The sequence below is a fragment of the Homo sapiens genome, chromosome 19 (assembly GCF_000001405.40).
Source record: "Homo sapiens chromosome 19, GRCh38.p14 Primary Assembly".
Lineage (NCBI taxonomy): Eukaryota > Metazoa > Chordata > Mammalia > Primates > Hominidae > Homo > Homo sapiens.
This window is the reverse complement of record NC_000019.10, coordinates 3293214-3308421: the sequence shown is the minus strand read 5'-3', so window position 1 is coordinate 3308421 and position 15208 is coordinate 3293214. Positions and strand designations below refer to the sequence as shown.

The 15208-nt window shown below is 50.8% G+C and overlaps 1 protein-coding gene and 1 long non-coding RNA gene across 15 annotated transcripts in view, besides 1 other annotated feature; one reads left to right on the top strand and one right to left on the bottom strand.

The window, feature by feature from the left end:
• The first annotated feature begins 1519 nt into the window (after positions 1 to 1519).
• LOC105372244 (uncharacterized) lies at positions 1520 to 11657 on the top strand. Its single transcript, NR_187753.1, has 3 exons — positions 1520 to 1573; positions 5387 to 5626; positions 11412 to 11657. It is a non-coding gene; the product is annotated as an uncharacterized LOC105372244 (long non-coding RNA).
• Positions 7113 to 7307: a silencer, noted in NCBI's record as "fragment chr19:3301113-3301307 (GRCh37/hg19 assembly coordinates)". NCBI's record gives its function as "represses an EF-1alpha promoter that drives an FKBP-Casp9 reporter gene in an ReSE screen in K562 erythroleukemia cells {active_cell/tissue: K562}" and the evidence as "EXISTENCE:reporter gene assay evidence [ECO:0000049][PMID:32094911]".
• The window catches only part of CELF5 (CUGBP Elav-like family member 5), a 72416-nt gene continuing 68553 nt past the window's right edge, over positions 11346 to 15208 (bottom strand). For 10 of the 14 annotated variants that reach the window (XR_430147.2, XR_007066936.1, XM_006722832.2 and 7 more), the window contains 2 exons: positions 14936 to 15103; positions 11346 to 13378 (listed from right to left, as the gene is read on the bottom strand). Coding sequence is in view for 10 of the 14 variants with exons in the window: in XM_006722832.2 (XP_006722895.1) it covers positions 14976 to 15103 (128 nt within the window). In the remaining 4 variants the exon portion in view is untranslated. Of the gene's footprint in view, positions 15104 to 15208 lie in introns of all 14 variants that reach the window. The other 4 variants (XR_001753733.2, NR_033342.2, NM_021938.4 and 1 more) reach the window with 2 other exon arrangements.

The following is a 15208-nucleotide window of genomic DNA, read 5'->3' as shown; positions in this document are numbered from 1 at the left end:
ACAGGGAAGGTCTTGCCAGCCTTATAGGTCACAGGGAGGCTTTGACCCAGAGGAAGGTGGGAGCCTTGGAGTGCTGTAGGCAGAGGAGGGACAGGCCCTAACTCGGGTGCTCACAGCCCCCCTCTGGTGGCTGCTGCAGGGAGGACAGACTGTGTGGCAGAGGGTGGAGCCTAGGACCAAGGCAGAGGCAACTGCGCCAGGTCCAGGTGGGCAACGATGGGGCTGGACCCAGGCAGAGGAACAGGAAGAAGTGAGCGTTTGAGGATGGAATAGTGAGGGCAGGGGCGACAGGACCTGCTGATAGATTGGAGTTGAGCAAGAAACAAAAGATCCAGGATAGCGTTGATATTCGGCTCCAGCACCCGGAAGAATGGAACTGCCGGGCCGGGCGCGGTGGCTCACGCCTATAATCCCAGCACTTTGGGCGGCCGAGGCAGGCGGATCACGAGGTCAGGAGATCGAGACCATCCTGGCTAACACGGTGAAACCCCGTCTCTACTAAAAATACAAAAAATTAGCCAGGCGTGGTGGCAGGCACCTGTAGTCCCAGCTACTCGGGAGGCTGAGGCAGGAGAATGGTGTGAACCCGGGAGGCGGAGCTTGCAGTGAGCCGAGATCGCGCCACTGCACTCTAGCCTGGGCGACAGAGCGAGACTCCGTCTCAAAAAAAAAAAAAAAAAGAATGGAACTGCCATCAGCTGAGATGCAGACGACGAGGGAGGAGCAGGATTGGGGACCAAGGACAGAGTGTTGTCCTGACTAGCAACCCCTTAGCTGTCAGAGATTAGGGCTGAGTTCATTTGAGGCTTTGATGGAGGACAGACAGGCAGAGAAAGCTCAGACCCTTGTCCCCAGTCATCCTGCATGGGAGCCCCTGCGACCAGAGCCGGGAGCTGTCCGCGACCCCCGGTGCTGAAGCTCCCATTCTAAGCAGGAACTCCGGAGCCCCCGCTGGAGTAAAGTGTCTGACATGTAGTGAACGCTCAAAACGTATCCCTGAATTTCACCCAAGGTGGCAAAGCGATTTCAGCGTCATCGTACTGCGCTGGTTTCTATGTCCCGCACGCCCCAACCTGTACTTTACGGATATGCAAACTGAGACCATGAGAGGTTGCTGCACCTTTAAAAATCACGCAATGCATCACTTTATTATTATTATTATTTTTTTTGAGACGGAGTCTGGCTCTGTGGCCCAGGCTGGAGTGCAGTGGCACGATCTCCACTCACTGCCACCTCCGCCTTCTGGATTCAAGCGATCCTCCTGCCTCAGCCTCCTGAGTAGTTGGGATTACAGGCACTCGCCACCACACCCGGCTAATTTTTGTATTTTTAGTAGAGACGGGGTTTCACCATATTGGCCAGGCTGATCTTGAACTCCTGACCTCGGGTGATCTGCCCTCCGCGGCTTCCCAAAGTGCTGGGATTACAGGCATGAGCCACGGCGCCCGGCTACGTAATGCATCACTCTTGACGTCACAATCAGCTAGGCTCTGAAGACAAATCCGAGTTCAGGCTGTGGATTGGCTGATCCCTCATGAATATGTAGATTACTCTCACCCTTCACCTCGCTCTGGTAGGTTCAGAAAAGTGAGGGGGTGGAGAGGAGGCGGGGCTGGGGGCGGGGCTGGAAACTGTTCCTGTGAGGGTTGGGGCAAGTAGTGGGGCGGGGCCAGGGACTATGGACGTGGTCAGAATTTTTGTACATTTCGTTCCCTGCCTTCTCCCCAGTACCTTTCTACAACAGCTCCTAGTACCCAGTAGGTGCTTCATAAATGTTTATTGACTCTGGATTCCAGTAGGAGTGATGCCTGAGAGTTCACTTTTCTGACCGGGGAGAAGGTCCTATTTTGCCTATAATGTGATAGTATCATTGGTATCATTCATCTTGATCTGCCCAGTTCTGGATGTTTGCATAATAACCTGAGCCCAGGCCGGGCGTGGTGGCTCACGCCTGTAATCCCAGCACTTTGGGAGGCCGAGGCGGTTGGATCAGGAAGGCCGAGGCGGGCGGATCAAGAGGTCAGGGATTCGAGACCAGCCTGACCAATATGGTGAAACCCTGTCTCTATTAAAAATACAAAAATTAGCCGGGTGTGGTGGCGCGCACCTGTAATCCCAGCTACTCGGGAGGCTGAGGCAGCAGAATCTCTTGAACCTGGGAGGCGGAGGTTGCAGTGAACTGAGATCGCGCCACTGCACTCCAGCCTGGGTGACAGAGTGAGACTCCGTCTCAAACAACCAACCAAAAATTATGTGTATACACACACACACACACATACACACGTATATATACATATATACACACATATACATTATATGTATATACACACATATGTATGTGTATATATATATATACACACACACACACACACACACATATATATATATATATCTCATGAGCCCCGTCTTACAGATGAGGAAACTGAAGCTTGGAGAGAGAATGCAAGGCTTAAGGGCATGCATGTCTTAAGTCAATCAGCAAATATTGAGGACCCAGAGGTGAGGAACTCCAGCTCCCTTGGTCGGGACTCAGCTCCTATTTGGCCCTCAGTTTTACCCCCACACATCCTGCTTCAGTCCTCTGTGTGGTTTCGAGGCCACAGTTGAGGGGCTCTCTGTTTTCTAACTCGGACCTAGGTAATTCCTACTTTTTTTTTTTTTTTTTTTTTTTTTTTTTAGACGGCGTTTCACTCTTGTCGCCCAGGCTGGAGTGCAGTGGCGCAATCTCGGCTCACCGCAACCTCCGCCTCCCAGGTTCAAGCGATTCTCCGGCCTCAGCCTCCTTAGTAGCTGGGATTACAGGCATGCACCACCACACCCGACTAATTTTGTATTTTCAGTAGAGACGGGGTTTCTCCATGTTGGTCTGGCTAGTCTCGAACTCCCGTCCTCAGGTGATCCACTCACCTCGGCCTCCCGAAGTGCTGGGATTACAGGCGTGAGCCACCGCGCCCGGCCAGTAATTCCTACTTCTACCCCCACCTTTGCTAACGCCATGCCCTGGGCCTAGCAGGTCACGGGTGTCTCCATCCCAACCCAGCATCTCCGACCTCCAGGGTGGGAACAGAGTGTTCCAGGCTAGGGAAACCGCACGTGCAAAGGCCTGGCAGCCAAACCACATTCAGTTACTGGAGAGAAAAGGGGAGGAGGAGCGGGGCCGACCTTGCAGGCTAGAAAGTTTGCACGGGGCAACTTTTGCGTCCCAGGAGAGAAGCCAGGGAGTCCCCTCACAGTCTCCCTCCGAGCTCAATAAATCTTGCACATTTCAAGCCAAGGCACAGAGCCTGAAAGAAGGCATGGGTTTTTGCTGCCCCCTGCTGGTCGCTGGAGCGAAAGCATCCGGAAAGTAATTTTAAAAAAAAGTCTCATTCTGTCGCCCAAGCTGGAGTGCAGTGGCGGGAACTCGGCTCACTGCAACCGCCGCCTCCCGGGTTCAAGCGATTCTCCTGCCTCAGCCTCTCGAGTAGCTGAGATTACAGGTGCGCACCACCACACCCGGCTAATTTTTGCATTTTTAGTAGAGTTGGAGGGGGGGGTTGCCATTTTGTCCAGGCTGGTCTCGAACTCCTGATCTCAAGTGATCCGCCCGCTTTGGCCTCCCAAAGTGCTGGGATTACAGGCGTGAGCCACCGCACCCAGCCGGAAAGTGAATTTTTAAGGGCTGATTTATTTTAAAGCTTCTGCAGTGCTTTCTCCGGGCCAGGAAGGACTTTATACATATTAACGCTTTGTGAGCTGGATTGGCCTCGTTTTCCAGAGAGAGAGAGAAAAACTGGTCCCCAGAGGATTCAGCTGCTGGCTCAAGGACACACAGCCATTCAATGTTATAAACCGGTTTCAAACCTGGGACAGTCTGGTTCTAAACTCAACCATTGTGTTTTTAGTGCATTTATTAATGGTAAGCAGGTATCATGTGCTAGGCAACAGGGAACAGAAAAACAAAATTCAGCCAGGTGTAAGGGCTCATGCCTGTAATCCCAGCACTTTGGGAGGCCAAGGCAGGAGGATCGCTTGAGCCCAGGAGTTTGAGACCAGCCTGGGCAACATAACTAGTCCCCGTCTCTACAAAAAATACTGAAAAAAATTAGCCAGGTGTGATGGTATGCATCTGTAGTCCCAGGTACTTGGGAGGCTGAAGCAGGAAGATTGCTTGAGCCCCGGAGTTGGAGACTTCAGTGAGCTATGATTGTGCCACTGCATTCCAGCCTGAGTGACAGAGGGAGACCCTGTCTCAACATAAAAACAGGCTGGGCGTGGCGGCTCAAGCCTGTAATTCCAGCATTTGGGAGGCTGAGGCGGGTGGATCAGCTGAGGTCAGGGGTTCGAGACCAATCTGGCCAACATGGGGAAACTCCATCTCTACTAAAAATACACACACACACACACACACACACACACACACACACATACACACACAAAAATTAGCTGGGCATGGTGACCCATGCCTGTATTTTCAGCTACTCGGGAGGCTTAGGCAGCAGAATTGCTTGAACCCAACAGGTGGAGGTGGCAGTGAACTGATACCGCACCACTGCACTCCAGCCTGGGTGACAGAGTGAGACTCTCTTTCAAAATAAGTAAATAATTAAAAAAAAAAAACCCCATAACATTAAAACAAAGCCAAACACACTTACTGTGCACTCATACCATCCTGTCATGAAACCCGCCAGGTTATGTTGGGTAGACAGACATCAAACAAGCCAGCGCATACATAAGCAGGGGGTTATAACTGTGATCCCTGCAGTGAATGAGAAGGGAGGGGAACCGAGGCAGGAGTTAACGGGTCGCAGTTTCAAATCCTGGCTCCACCACATACCAACTGTGTGGCCTTGGGTTTTCCTCTCCACAAACCTGCCCCTCCGTTTTCTCATCGGCAAAGTGAGAATTATAATAGAAACCTACGTTGTTGGTTGGTTGTGGTGAGGACAAAAAGAGTTGATCACAAGCTGCACATAGCAGGTGCTCAATAGACGTAAGGCTTTACTGTGTGGCTGTAGCATGCTCTGGGGAAAAGGAAGCTACCAGAGTTGTGAAGAGTAAATGTTTGCAGTGGGCACAGTGGCTCACGCCTGTAATCCCAGCACTTTGGGAGGCCCAGCGGGGAGGCTTGCTTGAGCCCAGGAGTTCGAGACCAGCCTGGGCAATAGAGTGAGACCCCGCCACTCCAAAAAGTAAAATAATAAACTGGGCATGGTGACGCACACATTTGTAGACCCAGCTACTCAGAGGGATCTCTTGAGCCCAGGATTTCAAGACTGGACTGAGCTAGGATGGTGCCACTGCACTTCAGCCTGGGCAACAGAGCGAGACCCTGTCTCAAAACAAACAAACAAAAAGTCAGTGCAGTCTCTCTCTCTCTGTCTCTCTCTTTTGGATCACACTCCAGGAAAAACCAGCCACCATGTTGTAAGGATGCTCAAGTAGCACTATGGAGATTCACACGTGGCAAAGAGCTGAGGCCTCCCACCAACAGCCACATGAGGGAGCCAGAGTAGGAGTGGCTCCTCCAGCCCCAGTCGAACCTTCAGATGTGACAGACTTGGCTGCTGACAGTTTGCAATCTCATGAGACCCTGAGCCAGAACCACCCAGCTAAATCAGTCCTGGACTCCTGATCAACAGAAATGGTGTAGGTCAGATAATAATGTATGTTTTAAGCTGACAGACTGGGGGATGGGTAAATTGTTATGCAGCAACACCTAACTAATGCACCCTGCATGTCACTTAGCCTATGCCTCAGATGAGCACTTATAGCATAGCTAGTGTTCCTCTGTCCTAAGCACATCCTTGCTCATTCTTAAGGAGACACTCAGTGGCGGAATTGGTGTATTTTATTTTTATTTTTTAATATTTATTTATTTATTTGAGATGGAGTCTTGCTCTGTTGTCCAGGCTGGAGTGCAATGGCACAATCTTGGCTCAATGCAAACTCCACCTCACAGGTGCAAGAGATTCTCCTGCCTCAGCCTCCCAAGTAGCTGGGATTACAGGTGCCCACCACCATGCCTGGCTTACTTATTTATTTATTTTTTGAGATGGAGTCTTGCTGTGTCACCCAGGCTGAAGTGCAGTGGCATGATCTCAGCTCACTGCAAGCTCCGCCTCCCAGGTTCACGCCATTCTCCTGCCTCAGCCTCCCGAGTAGCTGGGACTACAGTCACCTGCCACCACGCCCGGCCAATTTTTGTATTTTTGGTAGAGACAGGGTTTCACCGTGTTAGCCAGGATGGTCGCGATCTCCTGACCTCATGATCCACCCGTGTCAGCCTCCCAAAGTGCTGGGATTACAGGTGTGAGCCACCGTGCCCAGCTAATTTTTATATTTTTAATAGAGATGGGGTTTCACCATGTTTGGCCAGACTGGTCTCGAACCTCCTGACCTCAAGTGATCTGCCTGCCTTGGCCTCCCAAAGTGCTGGGATTACAGGCGTGAGCCACTGTGCCCAGAATTGGTGTATTTTTAAGGGTGCACATTCTAAATGTTTAACAACATTGGGTTAAATTTTAAAAGCTTAAATTGGCCTATTTCAAACAATAACCTGAATTCTAATCTAATACATTTGATTTTGGGCCACTACACAGCAGCTAAGAGAATGCCAGAGAGCCAGGGTTCAAGTACTGCTGTGCAGCCTCAGGCAGGTCCCTTAACCTTTCTGGGCTTTAATTAACTTGTAAAGTGGGGATACTATTAACAGAACATACCTCAGGGAGTTGGGGCGGGTTAAATGAGTTGAGTCATATAAAATGCTTAAACCAGGCTGAGTGTGGTGGCTCATGCCTGTAATCCCAGCACTTTGAGACACCAAGGCCAATGGATCATCTGAGGTCAGGAGTTTGAGACTAGCCTAGCCAACATGATGAAACCCCGTCTCTACTAAAAATACAAAAATTAGCTGGGTGCAGTGGCAGGCGCCTGTAATTCCAGCTACTCAGGAGGCTGAGGCAGGAGGGTTGCTTGAACCCGGGAGGCAGAGGTTGCAGGGAGTTGGAGGTTGCAGTGAGCCAAGATTGTGTCACTGCACTCTAGCCTGGGTGACAGAGCGAGACTCTGTCTTAAAAAAAAAAAAAAAAAAAAAAAAAAAAAAAAAAAAAAAAACAGAAAAAAACCCCTGCCGGGTGCGGTGGCTCACGCCCATAATCCCAGCACTTTGGGAGGCCAAGGCGAGTGGATCACGAGGTCAGGAGATGGAGACCATCCTGGCCAACATGGTGAAACCCCATCTCTACTAAAAATACAAAAAAATTAGCCGGGCATGGTCGTGGGCACCTGTAGTCCCAGCTACTCGGGAGGCTGAGGCAGGAGAATGGCGTGAACCTGGGAAACGGAGCTTGCAGTGAGCTGAGATCACGTCACTGCACTCCAGCCTGGGTGACAGAGCGAGACTCCATCTCAAAAAAAAAAAAAAAAAAAAACCCAAAAAATAAAACATAAAATGCTTAAACCAGTGTTATATGATTGAACATTCTTTTTTTTTTTTTTTTTTTTTGACAGGATCTTGCTCTGTTGCCCAGGCTGGAGTGCAGTGGCGTGATCATAGCTCACTGCAGCCTTGACCTCCTGGGCTCAAGCGATCCTCATGTCTCAACCTTCTGAAAAGCTGGGACCATAGGCATGCACCACCACACCTGGCTAATTGTTTGATTTTTTTTTTTTTTCGAGTTGGAGCCTTGCCCTGTGGCCCAGGCTGGAGTGCTATGATGCAATCTCGGCTCACTGCAACCTCCGCCTCCCGGGTTCAAACGATTTTCCTGCCTCGGCCTCCCAGGTAGCTGGGATTACAGGCTCCTGACACAATGCCCAGCTAATTTTTGTATTTTTTTAGTAGAGACAGGGTTTCATCATGTTGGCCAGGCTGGTCTCAAACTCCTTACCTCATGATCTGCCCACCTCAGCCTCCCAAACTGCGGGATTACAGGCGTGAGCCACTGCGCCCAGTCTGTTTGATTTTTTTTTGTAGAGACAGGGTCTCTCTTTGTTGCCCATATGGTCTTAAACTCCTGGGTTCAGGCAATCCTCCCGCCTCAGCCTCCCAAAGGGCTGAGATTACACGCATGAGCTTCGGTGCCCAGCCTGGTTCAACATGCAACACAGCAAGACCCCGTCTTTACAAAAAAAATGTAAAAAATTTTGTGGAGGATGGTGGCGCATGCCTGTAGTCCCAGCTACTCGGGAGACTGAGGCAGGGAGATCACTTAAGCCCTAGGAGTTCGAGACTGCAGAGAGCTATGATTGTGCCACTGCACTCCAGCCTGGGCAGTAGAGCAAGACCCTGTCTCTAATCAATCAATCAATCAATCAATCAATCAATCTATTGTGTAGCAACTGTGGGTGAAGGTGTGGACCAATCGGAACCCTCATGAACAGTGCGTGGGAATGTAAAATGGTGAAAATGCCGCTGTGAAAAACAGTTCGGCGGCTGGGCGTGGTGGCTCACACCTGTAATCCCAGCAATTTGGGAGGCCAAGGTGGGCAGATCACCTGAGGTCAGGAGTTCAAGACCAGCCTGGCCAACATGGCAAAACCCAGTCTCTACTAAATACAAAAATTAGCTGGGTGTGGTGGCGTGTGCGTGTAATCCCAGCTACTCGGGAGGCTGAGGCAGGAGAATCGCTTGAACCCGGGAGGCGGAGGTTGCCATGAGCTGAGATTGTGCCCCTGGACTCAAGCCTGGGCGACAGAGCAAGACTCCATCTCAAAAAAAAGAAGAGGAAGAAGAAAGAAGAAGAAAAGGAGAAGGAGAAGGGGAAGGGAAGGGGAAGGAGAAGGAGAAGGAGAAGGAGGAGGAGAAAGAAGAAGAAGAAGAAGAAGAAAAAGAAGAGGAAGAGGAAGAAGAAGAAGAAGAAAGAAGAAGAAGAAGAAGAAGAAGAAGAAGAAGAAGAAGAAGAAGAAGAAGAAGAAGAAGAAGAGGAGGAGGAAGAAGAGGAGGAAGAATTATTTGGCAATTTCTCACAAAGGTCAAACATGGAGCCACCATTTGACCCAGGAATTCCACGCCTAAGTGTCTACCCAGGAGAACTAAAAACACACACATCCATGCAGGGACCTGTCCATGAAGCTCAGAGCAGCAGGCTCATAATAGCCAAGACATGGAGGCAACCCAGGTATCTACTGAAGGATGGATCAGGACAGCATGGTCCATCCACACACTGGAATATTACTTAGCCATGAAAAGGAAGGAGCCTCTGACCCAGGCCACAGCGTGGATGAACTGTGAGGACCTCGTGCTCAGTGAGAGAAGCCAGACACGAAAGGCCACGCAGTGTGTGAGCCCATCTTTCTTTCTTATTTCTCTTTCTTTTCTTTTTCTTTCCTTCTTTCTTCCTCTTTCTTTCCTTTCTTTTTCTCTCTTTCTTCTTTCTCTTTCTTTCCTTTCTTCCTTTCCTTCCTTCCTTCTATTTCTTTCTTTCCTTTCTTCCTTTCCTTTCCTTCCTTTCCTTCCTTCCTTCTCTCTCTTTCTTTCTTTCCTTTCCTTTCCTTTCCTTCCTTTCCTTCCTTCCTTCTCTCTCTATTTCTTTCTTTCTCTCTTTCTTTCTTTTTGAGATGGAGTTACACAGTTTCGCTCTTCTTGCCCAGGCTGGAGTGCAATGGCATGATCTCGGCTCACTGCAACCGCCACCTCCCAGGTTCAAGTGATTCTCCTGCCTCAGCCTCCCAAGTAGCTGACATTACAGGCATGCACCACCACGCCCGGCTAATTTTATATTTTTAGTAGAGGCGGGATTTCTCCATGTTGGTCAGGCTGGTCTTGAACTCCTGACCTCAGGTGATCCACCCGCCTCAGCCTCCCAAAGTGCTGAGGTTACAGGCGTGAGGTACCACACCCAGCCGTGTGATCCCATTTCTATGAAATGTCCAGGACAGGTGGACCCACAGAGACAGGAAGGGGATGCGTGGGTGCTGGGGGGTGGGGAAGGGGGTAGGGAGTGATGGCTGATGGGGACAGGATGTCTTTTGGGGTGATAGGCTGTTCTGGAATTAGAGGTGGTAGTGGCAACACACCGTGAATGCACTACAAACCACTGAAGTGCACACTTTTAAATGGGTAAAATGGTAAATGCTGGCTGGGCACAGTGGCTCAAGCCTGTAACCTCAGCACTTTGGGAGGCCGAGGTGGGTGGATCACTTGAGGCCAGGAGTTCAAGACCAGCCTGGCCAACATGGCGAAACCCCATGTCTACTAAAAATACAAAAATTAGCCAGGTGTGGTGGCGCTCACCTGTAATCCCAGCTACTCGGGAGGCTGATGTAGGAGAATCGTTTGAACCCAGGAGGTGGAGATTGCAGTTAGCCAAGATCGTACCACTGCACTCCAGCCCGGGCAACAGAGTGAGACCCTGTTTAAACAAAACAAAACAATAAATAAAATGGTAAATTCTGTTATGTGAACTTTACCTGCATTTTTTCAAAATTGTATAGTTTATTCTATAGTATCTCTCTGCCCCACTGGACTATCTCCATGAGGACAGAGACCAGAGCGATCTTAGTTAAACAACTGCTGGCTGTGGGCGGCGGTTCACATCTGTAATTCCAGTGCTTTGGGAGGCAGAGGCCAGATCACTTGAGCCCAGAAGTTCGAGACCAGCTTGGGCACCATAGTGAGACTCCATCTCTACAAAAAATATAAAAATTAGCCGGCTGTGGTGGTATGTGCCTGTAGTCCCAGCTACTCAGGCTGAGACAGGAGAATTGCTTGAGCCCAGGAGGTTAAGGCTGCAGTGAGCTGAGATCATGCCACTGCACTCCAGCCTGGGCGACAGAGCAAGACTCCATCTCAAACAAACAAACAAACAAACAGCTGTAATATGATCAAGAAATGCATCTGGCTTCAGCAGACAGATCCCAGATACCCGATCATTAGAGCTGGTAACTTTTTTTTTTTTTTTTTTTTGAGACAGAGTCTCACTCTGTCACCCAGGCTGGAGTGCAGGGATGCGATGTCAGCTCACTGCAAACTCTAACTCCTGGGTTCAAGTGATTCTCATACATCAGCCTCCCGAGTAGCTGGGATTACAGGTGTGTGCCACCAAGCCTGGCTAATTTTTTTGTTATTTTTTTTTTTTGTATTTTTAGTAGAGGTGGGGTTTCACCATGTTGGCCAGGCTGGTCTCGAACTCTCAACCTCAGGCGATCCACCTGCCTCGGCCTCCCAAAGTGCTAGGATTACAGGTTTGAGCCACCACGCCTGGCCCCTGGTATCTATATCTACATTTGGTTTCTCTGAATATCCCCTCCTTCAACCCCTCACCCTAAACCTGCATTTCTCTCCAGCCCAGGTGCTGGATGGGGCCAGATACACTTGGTCTGTGTGGATGACAGAGAGAGGAAAGAAAGAGAAGAGTCAGCCCTTTAGCAAGTAAAACTTTTATTAAATAAATTTTTAGTTGTTTTTTTTTTTTTTTTTTTTTCTCCAGACCAAAGAGAGGCGTTTTGAACATTAAGACGCTTTGCTGCTTCTCACCTGAAACACGTAACAGGAACACCAACCTCTTCAGCCGCGGGAAATCTTCTTTGACACAAAACTCAAACCGAGTCAACCCAAAGTTCCAAGTTCTTTGCTTTCTCTTCTGTGTGTGTGTTGGTTTGTCCCAAAAGTCAGTTTGCAAGTTGAAACTTCATGAAATTACTCGTAGCAGAAATAAAGTACATTGTACAAATCACGCAGGTCTGCGATGTGGAGTATAAAAATGGTATTTACAGCCAGTAAACATGGACCAGAAAGACACGTACAACTGCACACCGGCACACACTCCCAAGCAGGCCCTCGGGGGCCTCGGCGGGCGCCGCGGACACGGGTGAGGCCCCCTCGAGGCAGATTGGCATGGCACACGCTTGCACACGGGGACACACGGAACACAGGCACGCTAGAGGAGAGTCTCGAAACAATTATCAAACTCTGGAATATCGAAACAAGTTGGTTCAGAAGATTTTTTTTTTTCTTTTCTATTTTTTTTTCTTTTTTCTTTTCTTTTTTTTTTTTTTTTTTTTTTCTGTGTGGTTTCCCCCACCCTACCGCCCCCCCTCCGGGTCAGTCAACACATTTTGGTAGAAAGAAAAGGAAATGCTTGGTTTTTTTTTTTTTTTTTTTCTTTCTTTTTAAATGTTTTTTTCTTTTGAGCTTATTAAGTTATCTGGCGCCTCATTTGGTAAGAGGCCTTGCCGGATGTCCAAACGAACTTGATGCTGTGCTTTGACGTGGGTGTCGCGGATTGGGCAGCTGTACAGAGGCACCCTCACAAAGACACCCCACCCCACCCCACTCCCAACTAGGAAACAAAAATCCATTGTGGTTTGATTTTTTCCCCCCATCTTTTTCTTCTCTTTTCTTCTTTGTACCTGCTCAGAAAGACCGGAAAAAAAAAAAAATCTCTGTAGAGGTATGAAGGTCATTATCAAGTTCGTCTCCAGTTAAAGGGGTGCTTGGCCGGTCCGGGTAGGGTCTTCCGCTACGCTTGGCAATCCTGGTTACAAGACCTTAAATTCGAGGCTGGTGATTCGAAGGCAGGGACAATGGCTGCCTGGCCTTGGGAGGGGGTGGTGAGGGGCAGGGGGGCTCCCCCCAACCCTGTCCGCCCCCCCCCTCCGACGGAAAGCTAAGGGCTATTGGTCACATGAGTAAGGCTATGACTCGGGCAGGGGAGCAGAGAAGGGCTGAGGCAGGCCAGAGCGTCTCTGTTGTACCTATATCCATCCCGGAGGGCAGGGCTCTGGGACGAAGGGGCGAGGTGGGGTCTGGAGGCTGCAGCTGGGACCAGGGACACTGAAGCTGGCAGAGCCCAACGGCCCTGGAGAATTGGTGGTGGGGGGTGCCAAAAGTCCTGGAGGTATGTTGTGTTGGCGGGTTCCTGGTGGGATGTGCCAGCCAGGAGGTGGTGGGGGTGGGGGTGGGGCACCTGGTATGTGTTGCGCGGGGTCCCGCCAACCTCAGCCCTTCCTGTGTCCCCCGCTGAGTGACCGGCCCAGGGTCACTCTACTCGGATGGAAGGAAGTCGGAAAAGTTTGGTCCCATGATCCGTACTCAAAATATATATATACTGTCTATAGATCTATATATATATGCATATATATATATATAGGAAAAGGTGTGATTTAGTTTGGGGAAGTCACCAAGTTTTGTGGGGAAGAAGCGAGAGCGTTTCCCAAAGCAGGGGGGGCGTGTGAACACTTCTGCCCACGATTCAGGAGCCTCCCCCACCCCCGCCCCTGCCCCAGGACAGACCCCAAAGGCCCCTCGCCACTCCAGGTGGCCTCCAGTAGAGGGGCAGGGCAAGGGGAGAAGAGGGGAGGAAAGGGCTGGTGTCCAAAGAACGGTTGGAATTTATGGGTAAGTCCTGGATCGGTTGGAAGCAGAAAACCCTCCTGGGATGGGAAGGCCCCTCACCTGGGGGAGAAGGGACGGGCGTTAGGGAGTGAGAACGGGGCCACACAGGTGGACACCACCTCCCCACCCTACTCCACCCGGCCAGGCTGGGATCTAGGAACACAGGGGCTCCCATCTTTTCCAAAAGAACAGATCCCACAAAGGCCAGAGTTCAGAGGCCAACAAACCCAGCTTTCAAAGAACTTAATGTCACCATCACCAAGCCCATTTCCTCCTCCTCTGGCAGCTGGGGACAGATATTTCTGTTTATTTTCTGTCTCTCCTTCCCTACCCCCTGCCATCTAAGGCCCGTGAAGGGGGTTTCTCCCCTGTCCTCCATCCCCCGTTTCTGTTCATTCACAGCTGCGTCCCCGAGCACTGGAACAGTGCCTAGCACATAATAGATGCTCAGTTAAAAAAAAAAAGTGCAGACTGAGAGTTAAAAGTGAAGGGATCGCAGAGAGCAGCTTTGGATTTTGCTTCTGGTTGGCAGTTCCTGAAGGTGCGTTCTGTGCAGGTAAATACTCCCAAATCTGTGTGTGCTGACCCGGGAGAAGGTGAAAAGGCCAGACAGCTTCTAACTGAGCGTCTACTCTGTGCCAGGCCCTAGGCGAGACTCTGATGACGACAGCGATGGTGATTTAAAAAAAAAAAAAATCAAAACGAATCATCCAGAACTCTTTAGGTGATGGGTTCTGGGCTCGGCTGCGAAAAGATGCCCCACTCTGTTCCCTAGGTGGACCGTTTCCGCCGTCTCTGGGGAGATGACTTTCTTGAACCCATTTTACAGATGAGGCTCATCAAGGTTTGAGACCCACGGTTAAGTTTCCACAGTGGCCCCACAAGGTTTACTGTTCATCCCCCCACAAAAAAATGTTGAGAAAGTGGTTTGCCCTGATGGCAAACTACAGTCTGGGTTTCGTTTTGCTTGTTTTTCTTGCATGATGGTGGGTGGGGCACGAATCCCACTTTTCCATCAACTCATTGGGTAGGAATGACACCCAGTGAGGGGCCGCTTGTCCCAGGGGAACTAGTGGAAATGGAGCGGGGACACTGGAAGCTGTCAGTGCCAACTGGACTGGGCCCTGAGCACTGTCCCCACCTTCCACGCTCCACTCCTGGTTCCGAGTTGGGGTCCAACCTTAGGGTTTGGGGTCTGGGGTGGGCACTTGGCATTTCCGTCTGGTGTTGGGTTTTCAGCAGGGAAAACAGACTCATAGGACAGGACAGAACCCCCTCCCCACCGCACCCCCACCCCCAGAGCAAACCTGGCCTCTCAGGTGAACTTCTATTCAGCCCTCAAAGCCTTCTCCGGGAAGGATTCCCTAACCGACCTCACTGGGCCCTGGCTCACCTCAGTCCCTACCCCATTCCCACCCTCTGCTCCAGCCCCAACCACAGGGGGATCGGGGGTGTCTACATCCAGCTCTGTCCCCGCCAACCCAACCCGGAGGTTTCTTGTAGCCTCTTGAAGCATCACCCCACCTGGGGAGGGTTTGGAGCATGAAGTGGGCCGCGGGAGGGGGTTTCAGACAAGACGGGGGGCTTGGGCGGGGGTGGGGCCGCCTGGCGGCTCACCTGGGCCATGCCTACAGCCTCAGGGCGGCTGTGGGCGCGGTCAGTAGGGGTGTCCCGGGTCTTTGGGCCGCTTCAGCTGGACTTTGAGCCTCTTCATGCCGATCTGGAAGCCGTTCATGGCCTGGATGGCTGCCTGGGCGCTGGCCGGGTTATCAAAGCTCACGAAGCCTGCAGAAACCAGGGTGGACCTCCGTGGTTGGCGCTGCGGGTGTCCTCGGCTTGTTCCTATGCTGTGGCCCTGGCTTCCCGGCTCACGGGGTCCTGAGCAGGCCT